This window comes from Homo sapiens, chromosome 12 (genome assembly GCF_000001405.40).
Source record: "Homo sapiens chromosome 12, GRCh38.p14 Primary Assembly".
NCBI classification, from domain to species: domain Eukaryota; kingdom Metazoa; phylum Chordata; class Mammalia; order Primates; family Hominidae; genus Homo; species Homo sapiens.
Window position 1 is genome coordinate 56,251,706 of NC_000012.12, and position 14,094 is coordinate 56,265,799.

At 50.9% G+C, this 14,094-nt stretch overlaps 1 protein-coding gene across 3 annotated transcripts in view, besides 8 other annotated features; it reads right to left on the minus strand.

Annotated features, from left to right (window-relative positions):
- The window catches only part of ANKRD52 (ankyrin repeat domain 52), a 20,578-nt gene extending 13,899 nt beyond the window's left edge, over positions 1–6,679 (minus strand). Inside the window, exons 1-15 of one of the 3 annotated variants that reach the window (NM_173595.4) lie at positions 6,538–6,679; positions 6,123–6,206; positions 5,578–5,656; positions 5,310–5,380; positions 4,079–4,279; positions 3,160–3,247; positions 2,873–3,015; positions 2,362–2,574; positions 2,017–2,095; positions 1,583–1,697; positions 1,299–1,381; positions 1,075–1,192; positions 797–865; positions 470–610; positions 310–390 (exon numbers count right to left, since the gene is read on the minus strand). In NM_173595.4, the coding sequence (NP_775866.2) occupies positions 310–390; positions 470–610; positions 797–865; positions 1,075–1,192; positions 1,299–1,381; positions 1,583–1,697; positions 2,017–2,095; positions 2,362–2,574; positions 2,873–3,015; positions 3,160–3,247; positions 4,079–4,279; positions 5,310–5,380; positions 5,578–5,656; positions 6,123–6,206; positions 6,538–6,564 (1,592 nt within the window). In that variant the 5' untranslated portion in view covers positions 6,565–6,679. Of the gene's footprint in view, positions 1–309; positions 391–469; positions 611–796; positions 866–1,074; positions 1,193–1,298; positions 1,382–1,582; positions 1,698–2,016; positions 2,096–2,361; positions 2,575–2,872; positions 3,016–3,159; positions 3,248–4,078; positions 4,280–5,309; positions 5,381–5,577; positions 6,207–6,537 lie in introns of those variants that run through there. The other 2 variants (XM_017019183.2, XM_011538197.3) reach the window with 2 other exon arrangements.
- Positions 4,689–5,681: an enhancer, noted in NCBI's record as "H3K4me1 hESC enhancer chr12:56650178-56651170 (GRCh37/hg19 assembly coordinates)". NCBI's record gives its function as "activates a minimal SCP1, AML or CMV promoter by ChIP-STARR-seq in naive H9 embryonic stem cells {active_cell/tissue: H9 hESC(naive)}" and the evidence as "EXISTENCE:reporter gene assay evidence [ECO:0000049][PMID:30033119]".
- Positions 5,988–6,037: an enhancer, noted in NCBI's record as "active region_6483". NCBI's record gives its function as "activates an Ori minimal core promoter by ATAC-STARR-seq in GM12878 lymphoblastoid cells {active_cell/tissue: GM12878}" and the evidence as "EXISTENCE:reporter gene assay evidence [ECO:0000049][PMID:35858748]".
- Positions 6,118–6,167: an enhancer, noted in NCBI's record as "active region_6484". NCBI's record gives its function as "activates an Ori minimal core promoter by ATAC-STARR-seq in GM12878 lymphoblastoid cells {active_cell/tissue: GM12878}" and the evidence as "EXISTENCE:reporter gene assay evidence [ECO:0000049][PMID:35858748]".
- Positions 6,228–6,297: a silencer, noted in NCBI's record as "silent region_4552". NCBI's record gives its function as "represses an Ori minimal core promoter by ATAC-STARR-seq in GM12878 lymphoblastoid cells {active_cell/tissue: GM12878}" and the evidence as "EXISTENCE:reporter gene assay evidence [ECO:0000049][PMID:35858748]".
- Positions 6,318–6,867: a silencer, noted in NCBI's record as "silent region_4553". NCBI's record gives its function as "represses an Ori minimal core promoter by ATAC-STARR-seq in GM12878 lymphoblastoid cells {active_cell/tissue: GM12878}" and the evidence as "EXISTENCE:reporter gene assay evidence [ECO:0000049][PMID:35858748]".
- Positions 6,878–6,937: a silencer, noted in NCBI's record as "silent region_4554". NCBI's record gives its function as "represses an Ori minimal core promoter by ATAC-STARR-seq in GM12878 lymphoblastoid cells {active_cell/tissue: GM12878}" and the evidence as "EXISTENCE:reporter gene assay evidence [ECO:0000049][PMID:35858748]".
- Positions 10,691–10,860: an enhancer, noted in NCBI's record as "experimental_29674 CRE fragment used in MPRA reporter constructs". NCBI's record gives its function as "activates a minimal promoter by MPRAs in K562 erythroleukemia cells, with activity observed for both the introgressed and non-introgressed 12:56656265 variant alleles {active_cell/tissue: K562}" and the evidence as "EXISTENCE:reporter gene assay evidence [ECO:0000049][PMID:34662402]".
- Positions 12,314–12,483: an enhancer, noted in NCBI's record as "experimental_29675 CRE fragment used in MPRA reporter constructs". NCBI's record gives its function as "activates a minimal promoter by MPRAs in K562 erythroleukemia cells, with activity observed for the introgressed 12:56657888 variant allele {active_cell/tissue: K562}" and the evidence as "EXISTENCE:reporter gene assay evidence [ECO:0000049][PMID:34662402]".

Here is a 14,094-nt window from a genome sequence, read left to right on the forward strand (position 1 = left end):
CCAGCCTGGGCAACAGAGTGAGACTCTGTCTCCAAAAAAAAAAAAAAAAAAAAAATCCATTCCTTTAGGGAAGGAACTATGTCTCATACTTTTGGGTTTTTTTTTCCCCCTGAAGCTCCTGAGCTTCAATCTCATACTTTTGTCTTTGCCCACTATGGACTACACCCAGAGGGCTCAAGACACACTGCTGGCTGACCGGCAGGACAGCAGCAGTATAGGGTAGAGGTTCAGATTAGGTAGGAGGACAGTAGGGCCAGAGCTTGCATGGGTTGGGGAAAGCACATCCCAGGGGCCCTCTCTGCTACTCACAAGAAGGCCTCCTTCCTGCGGGACTCCTTCAGTGGCTCGTCCTCTTCGGCATCATGGCTGGAAGGTGTATGGGGTTCCGCTCTGGGGAAGAGAGAGAGAAAGTTAGGGCCAGGCTCAGGGAGGTGAATGGGGCTGAGAAGGACCAGACTGGTAGCCTCACCTCCTGTAAGTGTCAGAAGCGGCAGCGTAGTGGAGGGGAGAGCAGCCTTTACAGTCGGCCTCGTTGACACCTGCCCCAGCAGTCACCAATGTTACTGCACACTGGTAGCTACCGTTAGCAGCTGCATAGTGCAGTGGGGTCCTGGGGAAGAAGTGAAGGAGGGTGGGGAAGAGAATCAGAGACAGATACGAATGCAATCAGATGTGCAGCCAAATGCTGCTTTGTAACATTCTCCTTATTTAAGTCTCCAATCTAAACCCTTCCTCCCTCTACCATTTGTTTCTCTAATCAGATATTCCCTATGTTTACCCCTGCATATTAGCATACCTGCCAAATTTGTCCCTCCTCCTCAAGTCAGCTCCACTGCTCAACAGCAAATTAAGACATTCAACATTCCTAAAAGAAAGATGTGTTAAGAGAGTTACAGCCTCAAAGGGAAGCCACAGGCCCAGGGTGGGGCTAAGGAAGGATGGGACTAGCAAGCCCTTTCTGCTGTGACTGCTTTCATTGTGAGAGGGGGAATAGATCTGGGCAGGCAAGAATGAGGGGCCCAGACCTTTGCCCAGCTCCCTGCTCAAAGCATGGGAGAGAGAAAGAGAACTCACCCTCCGGAAGCAGCAGCATGAAGACAGGTACGGCCAAGGTTGTCAGGTGTATTGATGTCAAACCCAGCTGAAAGCACATGCTCATTGCTGAGTGAAGACACAATGCTGTACAACTGACCTGGAGGCACAGAACAGCCACAGGTCACATCTGAGAGTGTTCAGCAGGGAGGGAAAGGCCTTTGCTCTCCTATACACCTGCCAATCCCCAGCCCATCAGCACATACCTGAGGAAAGAAGCTTACGACAACAGTCAGAGAATCCAAAGAGAACAGCTAAGTGCAGGGGGAACATGTCATGGATGCCACGCCTAGAGAGAAGTTGAGGGACTCAGTCCTTGGGTCAAGGAGGGACCAAGTAAGACCTCTTCTGTGACCTACCACCACCCTAGAGTCAGGGTAGGAGGTTCTCCAAGGTGCCCTTTGGCAAGCTTATCTGTGCCTCCATGGTTGATGTGAGCAGTCTGTGCAGATCTGGGCAGCCCAGAAGTGGAGTCGGGGCCCTGACTCACCGGGCGGTATCTGCGCCATTGGTCATGAGGGTGCTGATGAGCAGCTCGTGTCCATATCGAGCAGCCACATGCAGTGGCGTGTTCCCAAATTTGTCGGCACAATCAATCTCGCTGCCTGTGAGGGGATGCACACACACAAGCTCAGGCAGACCTCAGGCTTAAGACCACTTTCGCGAGCTAGCCATGATTTGAGTGCCTACTATGTATGCATCAGGTGCCAGGCCCAGGATTCTACATATTTTATCCTGTTTCTAGGCCTTAGGAGACTGGGCAGGGCAGAGCAGGGCCATTTCCACAGGTCCCTTGGTCAGAGTTCCAAGGGCCTATCCTACTGGAAGAGGGCAGGAGAAGGAAGTTAGGAACCTCCCTAGATTCTAGAAATGAGTTCCTTGGGGGAGGAGGGGATGAGAGCACAAAGTCTCCCAGGTCCATACCATTCTGGATGAGGATCTGGGAGCGTGTGAAACGGCCATGGATTGCAGCCATGTGCAGAGGACTTTTCCCTTCTTTGCTCTGTGGAAACATGGTGGGTTTTTGTTTTTGTTTTTTTTTCCAGTGCAAAGCACAGAGAATGCCCTACCTCCCTTCCAAGGACATATCTCTAAGGACAAAAGGGTCATATGGCACCTTCTTAGCCCACTCTTTCCTGAGTCCCTGGCAAGGTCTGATTACCCTAGGAAGCAAGTGGATAATTCCCCAAGAGAGCTATCCAGATACAGTCAGGACCCCTAGATCCAAGTTTCGCTCCCCACTGGTCTAAGCCTTATCCCTTCAGGCACCTGGTAGTTGACGTCAGCCCCATTATTAACCAGTAGCTCCAAGCAGAGAGCGCCATTGGTGGAGACTGCAGCCACATGCAGTGGCGTGAAGCCCTTGTCATTCGGCTGGTTGACATTGGCTCCGGCATTCACCAGCTCAATAGCCACAGCATCCTGGCCCAGGTAGCAGGCGATGTGCAAAGCTGTGTTTCCAAAAGCATTGGGTTCATCGATCTGGATATTCAGGGGTGAGAGTAAGGTGGTATCAGTTTAAACAAAGTAGAAGCCAGCACATGTAGCCTCCAGATCCCAGAAATCCAACGACTGCCTCATTTCCTCTCGGGTTTATGACCCAAGGTACTAAGGTACTAAGGGCACTATGGCTAAGGTAAGCATTATTCAGACCCTCTCTACCACGTCCTTCCAACTTCCCAAAACTATACCAACATCCCAATACCTCATATCTCCGTAACAGACTATAATCTCCTACTTGCTGCCCATAGTTCCCAACCCCAGAGCTCAAAGCCCTGACCTCCGCTCCCATCCGAAGCAGGTACTTCACCACTTCAATCTGGCCACTGGCAGCAGCTGTATGGAGCAGCCCATAGCCCTTGCGGTCCTTGCAGCCGAGGTCTGCTCCCCGTGCCACCAGCAGTTTTAGGACCTCCAAGTGCCCTGAGAAAAGAGAAGACACTCTAAAGGAAGTAGAAGGTAAACTCTAAGACCCTACACTCCTCTCTTCAAAGGCTGCAACCCCACATCCCTGCCCTAGGAATCCTAAATGTCAAATTTCTGATTTTCCCGTGTATTCTCTCTCACCTAGAAAAGCTGCCCAATGCAGAGGCTGCCGCTCCTTTTTGTCACAGACATTCAGGCTGGCTCCCTTGTTGAGGAGCAGGTTCACCGTCTGCATCAGGATATGAAAGACACCTGTTCAGAGCTAGATTCGTGCCCTCAACCTACCTAAGAGCAGAGGCCTCATCTCCTGAAAAGGCTGAGGCAGCCTAATGCCTTTTTCCATGAGCAAAACAACCTGGAGGACTCGAGGGAACAGCAGAAGCAGGCACTAAGGAGGAGATACTGGAGAGATTTGGAACTTTAAGGGAAACAAGAGAGTCTCTTCAGGTGATCTGGTGGTTCTTAAACTCTTTTTTTTTTTTTTTTTGAGACAGTCTCGCTCTGTTACCCAGGCTGGAGTTCAGTGGCATGATTTCGGCTCATTGCAAGCTCCGCCTCCCGGGTTCACGCCATTCTCCTGCCTCAGTCTCCCGAGTAGCTGGGACTACAGGCGGCCGCCACCACACCCGGCTAATTTTTTGTATTTTTAGTAGAGACAGGGTTTCACCATGTTAGCCAGGATGATCTCGATCTCCTGATCTCATGATCCACCCGCCTTCGCCTCCCAAAGTGCTGGGATTACAGGCGTGAGCCGCCGTGCCCGGCCGGTTCTTAAACTCTTGTAAGTCTTTGCAAATGTGCTGAAAGACATGGACTCTCTTCAGAAAGGCGTGTATGCAAATATTTTCCACGCAAAATCCAAGGTTTTATCAACCTCCTGAAGTCCAAGTTAAGAATTTTAATCTAGTCTGACCATTCATTTAGTGCTTCAGCTTAAGTGTTTATATAACCATCCGGGCTGCTTCTCCTTCAGGCTTGAGGGCCCAGAAGCAGGGAAACGTGAGTAGGAAGGTAAGAAAAGGGAAAGCCCCAGCTGGGCCTGGATGGGAACAGTCCTCACCTCAAGATGCCCACTATGCACTGCATGGTGCAGAGCACTGCGCCCGCTCCTGTCAGCCACGTTGAGGCTGCTCAACAGGGGTGCCAGAGCCTCAGCACACTTGGTGGCCCGGTTGGCAGCAGCCACATGCAGTGGTGTCTGCCACAGCTTGTCCCGGGCATTCACATCTGCTGAATGTGCCAGCAGCAGCCCCAGCACCTTCTGTTGAGGGGCAGGGGACAAAAGAGAGAGTGGGAGCAGGAGGTAAAACAACAGGAAATGGAAGGAGGAATAGGTCAGCATAGCATCTACAGCCCCTTCCCCAGCACAGAATCTCTTCTCATTTTTCCAACATACCTAGCCTCTGAATACCTACTTTCCATCTTCTGGATCTTCTTAGAACTTAAGCTCTTCCTTACCTTGCTGATTAAAACAAGGACCCTTTGCTCTTCTTCAAGCCACCTGACTCGCCAACTTAGACCCTGAAAATCTTCACTCACACATACATCCATTCCCAAACAAATCCACATGTGGAGATCCACACATCCCAACCCCCTACTACTTCTAGGAAAACTAAATGCTCTTGCTACATCTTGCCCTGAACACCCTCTTTAGCCTTCTCATAGGCACCAAAATTATTTTCAGTATCTCAGTAAGCAAACAGATACTGGTTCGTTTGCAAAACCCGAGCTAAAATGCCCCTCCTAACCACCACCCACCTCATTCCCACTGGCCTCGGCCCCTCCCCCTGGTGGCTGGAGCCAGGGAAGTGATGAACTGAGGAGGAGGTCCCCCTTTCCCTGTCTTCAGGGCTGATGGGAATAGGATAAAGGACCCAACTGATGAAATATGTTTGGCCCCTGTGCTGTCAACTTTCAAGCTGCTTGAGGGCCAAGGATGCAACAGATTACTATACCCATCCTCCATCACAAGGAAAAGAAATCTCAGTGCCCAGAGGGGGATCAGACTCAAGGTGGCCCCCCAGGGAGGGATGAGTCACTCAGGCCTGGCAGCAGGGCCCCCGCAGTCTGCCAGCCCAGTGTTAAGCTCTTCCTGAGTCACATCAGCTGGCAGCACTCAACCCCCTTACTGGCCAGTTCTAGGGGTAGGAGGAAGGGGCCAAGATTTGATCTCCTCACTACCTGGGGTAGAACAGCTTGTAGGGCTGAGGACTGAGGCTCCTTAACCCTTAACCCCCACCTTTAAGCAACTTATCCTTTTTGAAAGGGTAATAGAAGGTGGGGGTGCATACCTCGTTTCGGGAGGCAGCAGCACGATGAAGAGGGGTCAGCCACAGTGTGTCCTTAGCATTGACATTAGCACCTGTGGGGATATAATTTCCTATTTTGATGGAAGGTGGGGAGGAGGTATGAAGGAAGCCAGTAATCAGGCCAGGAAATCTGAATGGAGCTGGAGCCTCGCCTGGACCAAGCCGGGGAGAGCAATCCTTGAATATCAAAAAAGACTCCTCCCCTCCCTTCGCTCCCTATGTGCCACACCTTCCAGCTCCCCACTTTCACCTGACATCAGTAGCAACTGGAGGATGGGGACATCGCCTACGTAGGCAGCAGCATGCAATGGAGTTCGCCTCTCTTGGTCCTGGGAAGGCAAAAAAGAGCAGGGAGTATGGGCGCGGGGTAAGGGGGCTATCAAGGACCCCAGCCCAAGTCTCAGAGCTCCAGGCCCTTCCCCACAACCTCTTCCCATAGTTTCTGCAGCGTCCTAAGTCCCGGTATTGGGAGTCAAAGGCAAGCACCTAGGGAGGGTGGAGTCAGGGCCAATGGGCTGAGAAGCCGGCTCCTTTTTCCAGGAGGGGTGGGGGCGCTGCAGACTCCGGAGGTTGAGAAGAGAACAACGTTCCTGGGCATTCCCAGCCCAAGTGATCTGGGCTTCAAGCCTGACCTGCTCTCCATCCCCAAATGCAGAGTAGGCTTTCACTCCAGGATGGAAAGAACTGCGGCCTCATCTGAGCAGAGGAGACACGGAGCCGCCCCACCGGTGGGGAGGGGTCCAGAACACGGGAGCCAGGATTCCGGTCTCGCCATCCTCCCTGCTCCCAACTCACCAGCACATTGATGTTCTCCTTCTGCGAGAGTAGGGAACGCACTTCCTCCACATCTCGGCTAAAGATGGCCTGGACCAGGGGCGGCTGCAGAGAGAACCGGCATTCTGAGAGCGGGCTGGAGCCGGAGCGGAACCGGTGTGGGGGTGGGGGTGGGGGAGCACCTAGGTTTGAGTGGGGGGCGTCCGTGGAGGGGCTCCACTCTAGGGATTCTGGCTGGAGCGAGCTCCCGCGGTGCCTCCGCCGGTTGCCAGGTCCCCAAGGACACCGGCTCGGTTGAGGGGAGCGCGGCATGGGGCGGGGCGGGAGCTGCGGGAGCCCCGGGCTCAGGCCCAGCCTAGGCCGCACATCCCCGGGCTCGCGTGACGGCAGCGCCGAGCCCTGGAAGGAGGAAGCGGGAAAGGGCAGGAGGGCTGACCTGGTCCGTGATGCTGAGGATCCCCATGGCTCGGCCCGGGCTCCGTCCGCATCGAGCTCCCGGCGGCGGCGGCGGCGGCTCCACCGGGGACACGGAGCGGCCCAGGCGGCGGCTGCGGTGGCGGCTGCAGGGAGAGCGCGGCCCCGCCTACCGGGGGGCGGGCGAGTTGGAGGCCGCAGCGCTCCCTGGCGGCCGTCCTGGTCCCGGCGCTCCCCGCGCAAACGGACCCCGGCCGCAGCGCCCTCCGCCCCACCCTGGCGGCCCCAGCAGCCCCTGCACCCCCGAACTCGCGCGCCGGCTCCCCGGCTCACGCAGCTGGCCGCGCTGTGCTCTCCGCTCCAGTCTGGCGGCCCAAGGGGTTCCCCACAAGACCCTAGCGGAAACCTGGGCCTTAGTCCCGCGGTGCTTCCCAAACTGAGGACCGAACGGCTGGCCAGATCTTACCCAGCCCACAATGCTCCCGCCCGAGCTAACTCCTCCCGTCAGCGATTCCACACCCCGAAATCCCCCACAGACTAGGAGGAACTGGCGGGTGGAGAACTGGGAATTATGTATGGCAATAGCCCCAGAGGGAGGGAAAGCGTGTATCTCCACTGGCGGAGGCGTGAGTTCGGTAGAGAAGAAATAGCAAAAGTGCTCAAACTGCAGAGAAACCCCAAGGAGGATTCTACTGCAGAAAACACCCACAAAGAGGCCATGACAACTGGCAGCTGGAAAAGGCCGCCAAGACCAACAGAAGGGGCATTTTCCAACTCCTTACTGATTCCATTGCAAGGTTAAAGTGGAAAACACTCAACAATTTCTCCCCAGAACAGCCTGTGGCGCTTCCCCTCCTCCAATGGAGAGGCCAGAGAGCCGTCAATTAGAGAAGAAATGAATGGAGGTCATCTCAACCCAGAAACGGAAAAAGGAGGAAGACGAAAAGTGGAGATTGAAAAATTGATACAATTTATAAAAGGTGATCCAGGGTCCTGTTCAGAGTTTCACAACTCAATACACATTGAAGAGAACACGAAATGGACGAAGTGCAGCATGCTGGCGTCCTGTCAAGGCTTTATATATAAAAATCCTCCCTTGAGGGGAGAGGAAAAAAATTAAAAAATAAAAATACATTTTATTTTATTTTTTGAGATGGAGTTTCACTCTCGTCCCCCAGGCTGGAGTGCAGTGGCACGATCTCGGCTCACTGCAACCTCCGCCTCCCGGGTTCAGTGATTATCCTGTCTCAGACTACCAAGTAGCTGAGACTACAGGCGCCCGCCACCCTGCCCGGCTAATTTTTTATTTTAGTAGAGACGGGGGTTTCACCATGTTGGTCAGGCTGGTCTCGAACTCCTGACCTCAGGTGATCCACCTGCCACGGCATCCCAAAGAGCTGGGATTACCGGCGTGAGCCACCGCACCCGGCGAAAATACATTTCAAAAAAGCCTTCCCGGCCGGGCGCGGTGGCTCACGCCTGTAATCCCAGCACTTTGGGAGTCCGAGGCGGGTGGATCACGAGGTCAGGAGATCGAGACCATCCTGGCTAACACAGCGAAACCCCGTCTCTACTAAAATACAAAAATCAGCCGGGCAGGGTGGCGGGCGCCTGTAGTCCCAGCTGCTTGGGAGGCTGAGGCAGGAGAATGGCGTGAACCCGGGAGGTGGAGCTTGCAGTGAGCCGAGATTGCGCCACTGCACTCCAGCCTGGGCGACAGAGCGAGACTCCGTCTCAAAAAAAAAAAAAAAAAAAAAAAAAAAAAGCCTTCCCATTCCCAACATGGTGAAACCCCATCTCTACCAAAAATATAAAAAAGTAGCCTGGTGTGGTGGTGCACGCCTGTAATCCCAGCTACTGGAGAGGCTGAGGCAGGAGAATCACTTGAACCAAGGAGGCGGAGGTTGCAGTGAGCCGAGATGGAGCCACTGCTCTCCAGCCTGGGTGACAGAGCCAGACTCCATGTCAAAAAAAAAAAAAAAAAAAAAAAGCCTTCCCTTGCTTTCCTGCTAGAAAGATACTTAAGACACTAGTAACAGTCCTTTTTTCCCAGAAAGAAAAACTGGGGTACAGGAAATAAGGAATGAGAGAGAAATTTACCTATCACTATATACCTTTTGGAATTTTTTAAATTTTTACCATATTGAAAATAAAAGTTAAAATATTGCTTAGGAGCAATCACTCCGTGATTCCATGCACACACAAAAATTATGAAGAAATTTAAACTTACCTCTTCCAGGAAGTCTCCTCTGGCTAATAGGCTCTTTTCCTTTTGTTAGTTCTCCTTAACACTTACATACTTAGTTTATACTGCCACAATCTGGTTAAATTGTACACCTTTGTTTCTCATTTCACCTTTTTTTTTGGAGACCAGTGTCGCTCTGTCGCCGCCCAGGCTGGAGTGCTGTGGCGGGATCTCGGCTCACTGCAAGCTCCGCCTCTGGGGTTCATGCCATTCTCCTGCCTCAGCCTCCCCAGTAGCTGGGACTACAGGTGCTGCCACCATGCCCGGCTAACTTTGAGTAGAGATGGGGTTTCACCATGTTAGCCAGGAGGTTTCAATCTCCTGACCTCGTGATCCGCCCGCCTCGGCCTCCCAAAGTGCTGGGATTACAGGCGTGAGCCACCGTGCCCAGCCAGGTATAGTTTTTTTTAAGCTCCAGAATATCAGTATAGAGAAACAGGCATTTAATATTTGATGACTGATGATGATGATGAAGCAGCAGCAGAAACCAAAGGTAGCAAAGGATCAAATGGATATGGGTGTTGGGACTTGGCTATTGGGTATGATGGGCCTTCCAGGAAGGGCTAAACTAGGATATGGCCCAGAGGATAAGGAGGAGGGGCATACATGGTATCCATTGCCCAAAATAACTCTAGGTAACCTGAGGAATTGGAGTCAGGGGTTCAGCTGGGGTCACGTGCCCGGTTCTGGCTAGGGGATGGAGGTGAACAAGAGAGGTTGCCAGCCTGGTTCTCTGGGCAATTGGAGGGAGGAGGACGGGCTAGAAGAGTTATTTTTAATATTATTTAGAGCATCAAAAGAGGATTTCCCAGTAGGAAAAAAAGGGATTTGATGTAGGGAACACTGATACTTTCAGGGCTCAGGGAGACACACAGGGTATGGGAGGAGGAGGCCAGAAGTGGTGATAAAACCTTCTTATATGGACAGTCCTTCTGGATTGAACTACAAGCATTCATATTTGGGTAACTCTAGACAGATGGCTGCCTATTTTTAAGCCTCAGTTTTCCTTCTTCTGACTAAATGTGAGGACTCACCCGATGTACAGCCCTGTACTAATTGGTCGGGAGGTCAAAAATTAGAAGTAATGGTGTCTCTTTATGAGGAGCTTATAACTTAGTAGATGAACATACATATACATGTGAAACAACTACAGAATATAGGATACATGCTAGATTACATGGCATTATGTGTTCAGAGTAATGTTGAAGGAAGGGTTCAGTCAAGAGGGTCTTCCTGGAGGAGGTGTGTTTTGAGTCAGTACTTGAAGGAAGTTATTGATGTAGAATGGTGGAGACATGGGAAGAAATCGGTTGTTTCAAGTATAGGGACTAAACTAGGAAAGTTTAAATGGCAGTAATTAGTTAAACCAATTAGTAGGGGACAGTAAGCAAATTGGCTTGGTAGGCCTGTTGGACCTTGGGGATTCTGTAGCAGTCAACTTGGTTAAGGCAGAGTGATAATGAGGTCACAGTTCAGTTATGTATCCCTGTTAATTTCTGTCTTTTAACCAACCAGATCCTTACTCCTCATTCAAAGCAGCTGTCTCACATGTATAAGCCCTTAGTCAGAGGCGGGTGGGGCTGGACAAGACAGTGGAATTCGAAAGAGTAAATCTGTCCTTTAAGGTCATGTGCCCATCTGAAGGTGGCTCCAGATTACCATTTGTGAACTGGAAGGAGGCACTGTACTACAGTAGTGGAAAGGAGGACTGGGGGATGTGGACATTTTAACAGACTCTCTCTGGAGTGCAGAGGCGAAAAGAAGAGATGTTAGGAAAGAAAATAAGTGAGATCATCACCCAACTTGGGGTATCACGGAAGAGGATAAACGGAAAGGTGGCGGCCGGGCACGGTGGCTCATGCCTGTAATCCCAGCACTTTGGGAGGCCAAGCAGGTGGATCACCTGAGGTTGGGAGTTCAAGACCAGCCTGATCAACATGGAGAAACCCCGTCTCTACTAAAAATACAAAATTAGCCGGGTGTGGTGGTGCATGCCTGTAATCCCAACTACTTGGGAGGCTGAGGTAGGAGAATCGCTTGAACCTAGGAGGCTGAGGTTGCAGTGAGCCGAGATCGCGCCATTGCACTCCGGCATGGGCAACAAGAGTGAAACTCTGTCTCAAAATTAAAAAAAAAAAAAATTAAAAAAAAAAAGAAAAGTTGACAAAACACATTTATAGTCCAGGCATGGTGGCTCATGCCTGTAATCCCAGCACTTTGGAAGGCCAACGTGGACATATTGCTTGAGTTCAGGAGTTTGAGACCAACCTGGGCAAGAAGATGAAACCCTGTCTCTACCAAAAATGTGGTAGTGTGCCCCTGTGGTCGCAGCTATTTGGGAGGCTGAGGTGGGAATATCACTTGAACCTGGAAGGCAGAGGTTGCAGTGAGCCGAGATTACACCAATGCACTCCAATCTGGGTGACAGAGTGAGACCCCCGTCTCAAAAATTAAATAGATAAATAATAAAACATATTCATTTGGTCAATAATTATTTTGAATTGGTAGTACTAACTGCTATAGAGGTAGAACAGCTTATTAAAAATGGGTTTTGATGATCACCCAATGGCTCTTGCTTACTTGAAATCCAGAGAAGATGGGCTCAAACTTTTTTTTTGAGACGGAGTTTTGCTCTTGTTGCCCAGGCTGGAGTGCAATGGCGCCATCTAGGCTCACCGCAACCTCTACCTCTGGGGTTCAAGTGATTCTCCTACCTCAGCCTCCCGAGTAGCTGGGATTACAGGCATGCACCACCACGCCCGGCTAATTTTGTATTTTTAGTAGAGATGAGGTCTCTCCTTGTTGGTCAGGCTGGTCTTGAACTCCCAACCTCAGGTGATCCACCTGCTTGGCCTCCCAAAGTGCTGGGATTACAGGTGCGAACCATCTCGCCCCGCATTTTTTTTTTTTTTTTTTTTGAGACAGAGTCTCCGTCTGTCCCCCAGGCTGGAGTGCAGTGGCACAATATCCACTCACTGCAACCTCTGCCTCCCGGGCTCAAGTGATTCTCTGCCACAGCCTCCCGAGTAGCTGGGACTATAGGTGCGTACCACCACATCTGGCTTTTTGTTTTGTTTTGTTTTGTTTTTGAAACGGAGTCTCGCTGTGTCGCCCAGGCTAGACTGCAGTGGCGTGATCTCGGCCTACTGCAACCTCCGCCTCCCAGGTTCAGGCCATTCTCCTGCCTCAACCTCAGCCTCCTGAGTAGCCAGGACTACAGGCGCCCGCCACCATGCCCAGCTAATTTTTTGTATTTTTAGTAGAGACAGGGTTTCACCATGTTAGCCAGGATGGTCTCCATCTCCTGACCTCGTGATCCACCCGCCTTGGCCTCCCAAAGTGCTGGGATTACAGGCAGTGAGCCACTGCGCCCGGACATGTTTTGTATTTTTTGTAGAAATGGGTTTTTGCCACGTTGGCCAGGATGGTTTTGATCTCCTGACCTCATGATCCGCCTGCCTTGGCCTCCCAAAGTGCTGGGATTACAGGTGTGAGCCACCGTGCCCGGCCCAAGAGCTACCCTGTTTCTAGACCAGATGTCTCTTCCAGATTAGTTGGACAAGAATTGCAACACAGTCTTTTTTTGTTTTTGTTTTTGTTTTTCTGAGACAGGGTCTCACTCCCGTCACACAGACTGGAGTGCAGTGGTGCAATCACGGCTCACTGCAGCCTCAACCTCCTGGGCCCAGGTGATCCAACTCAGACTCCCAAGTAGCTGGGATTACAGGCATGTGCCACCATGCCTGGCTAAATTTTTTTGTATTTTTTGTAGAGACAAGGTTTCACCATATTGCCCAGGCTGGTCTCAAACTCCCGGGCTCGGGTGATCCACCAACCTTCACCTCCCAAAGTGCTGCAATTACAGATATGAGCCACCATGCCTGGCTACAACACAGTCTTTATTTACTTTATCCCCTGCCCCTCTGCATAACCACCACACACAACACTTCTCAGGGAAAGATTTCCTGAAAGTGGAGAGCTTGACTGAAGATTTAGAAAGCAAGCAGAGGAAAGGCTTGTACTGTAATAGCATGAATTTCTTAAAACTCAACAGCAGGCACCACCATTCTCTTGCACCCACCTAGTTCTAGTCTCTCTTTTTTTTTTCTTTTTTATTTTTGGAGAGACAAGTTCTCACTATGTTGCCCAGGCTGGTCTTGAACTCCTGGCCTCAAGTGATCCTCCCACCTCAGCCTCCCAAAGTGCTGGGATTACAGGCATGAGCCACTGCACTTAGCCCAATCTCTTTCTAATTGTTGATTTCTTTCTTCCCTTCCTTTTTTTCTTTTGTTTGCCTGACTTTTTTTTTTTTTTTTTTTTGAGATGGAGTCTTGCACTGCTGCCCAGGCTGGAGTGCAGTGGTGCGATCTTGGCTCACTGCAAGCTCCGCTCCCCGGGTTCATGCCATTCTCCTGCCTCGGCCTCCTGAGTAGCTGGGACTACAGGTACCCACCACCACGCCCGGCTAATTTTTTGTATTTTTAGTAGAGATGCAGTTTCACCCTGTTAGCCAGGATGGTCTCGATCTCCTGACCTCGTGATCCACCCACCTCGGCCTCCCAAAGTGCTGAGATTACAGGCATGAGCCACCGCACCTGGCCCACCTGACTTTTATCAAGAGCATTTTTTCTCTTTCTTGCTCGCTTGCTTTCTTTTCTTTTCTTTCTTTCCTTTTTTTTTTTTTTTTTTTTTTGAGATGGAGTCTTGCTCTGTTGCTCAGGCTGGAGTGCAGTGGCACAATCTCAGCTCACTCCAACTTCCGCCTCCTGGGTTCAAGCGATTCTCCTGCCTCAGCCTCCCGAGTAGCTGGGATTAGAGGCGCCCGCCACCATACCTGGCTAATTTTTGTATTTTTAGTAGAGATAAGGTCTCACTATGTTGGCCAGGCTGGTCTTGAACTCCTGACCTCAAGTGATCTGCCCGCCTCAGCCTCCCAAAGTGCTGGGATTACAGACGTGAGCCACCATGCCTAGCCAAGAGCATTTTTTTTTTCTCCTTGAATCATGAAAAGTAGTATAGTGGTATTTAATTGCGTGGGTTTCTGTCCATGAGGTCTCACTCTTCATCAAGCGCACACTTTTCAAACAAAGATGGTTCTCTGTCCTAAGAATATCTGGTTCTTCCTACCTCGACTTCTTTCTATAAATATTAAAGGTAAAAACTATGCAGTCTTAGCCCAGAGCTTGGAATGTTAATCTCCTTTCCCAAAAATGTAGAACACAGCACTAACCACTTGTGGAAGCTACAAAGATGAACAGTGCTTCTAACTATAAACAAGGCCGAATATGATAAAGGCTCTGTGATGATTGAGTGTCAACTTGATTGGATTGAAGG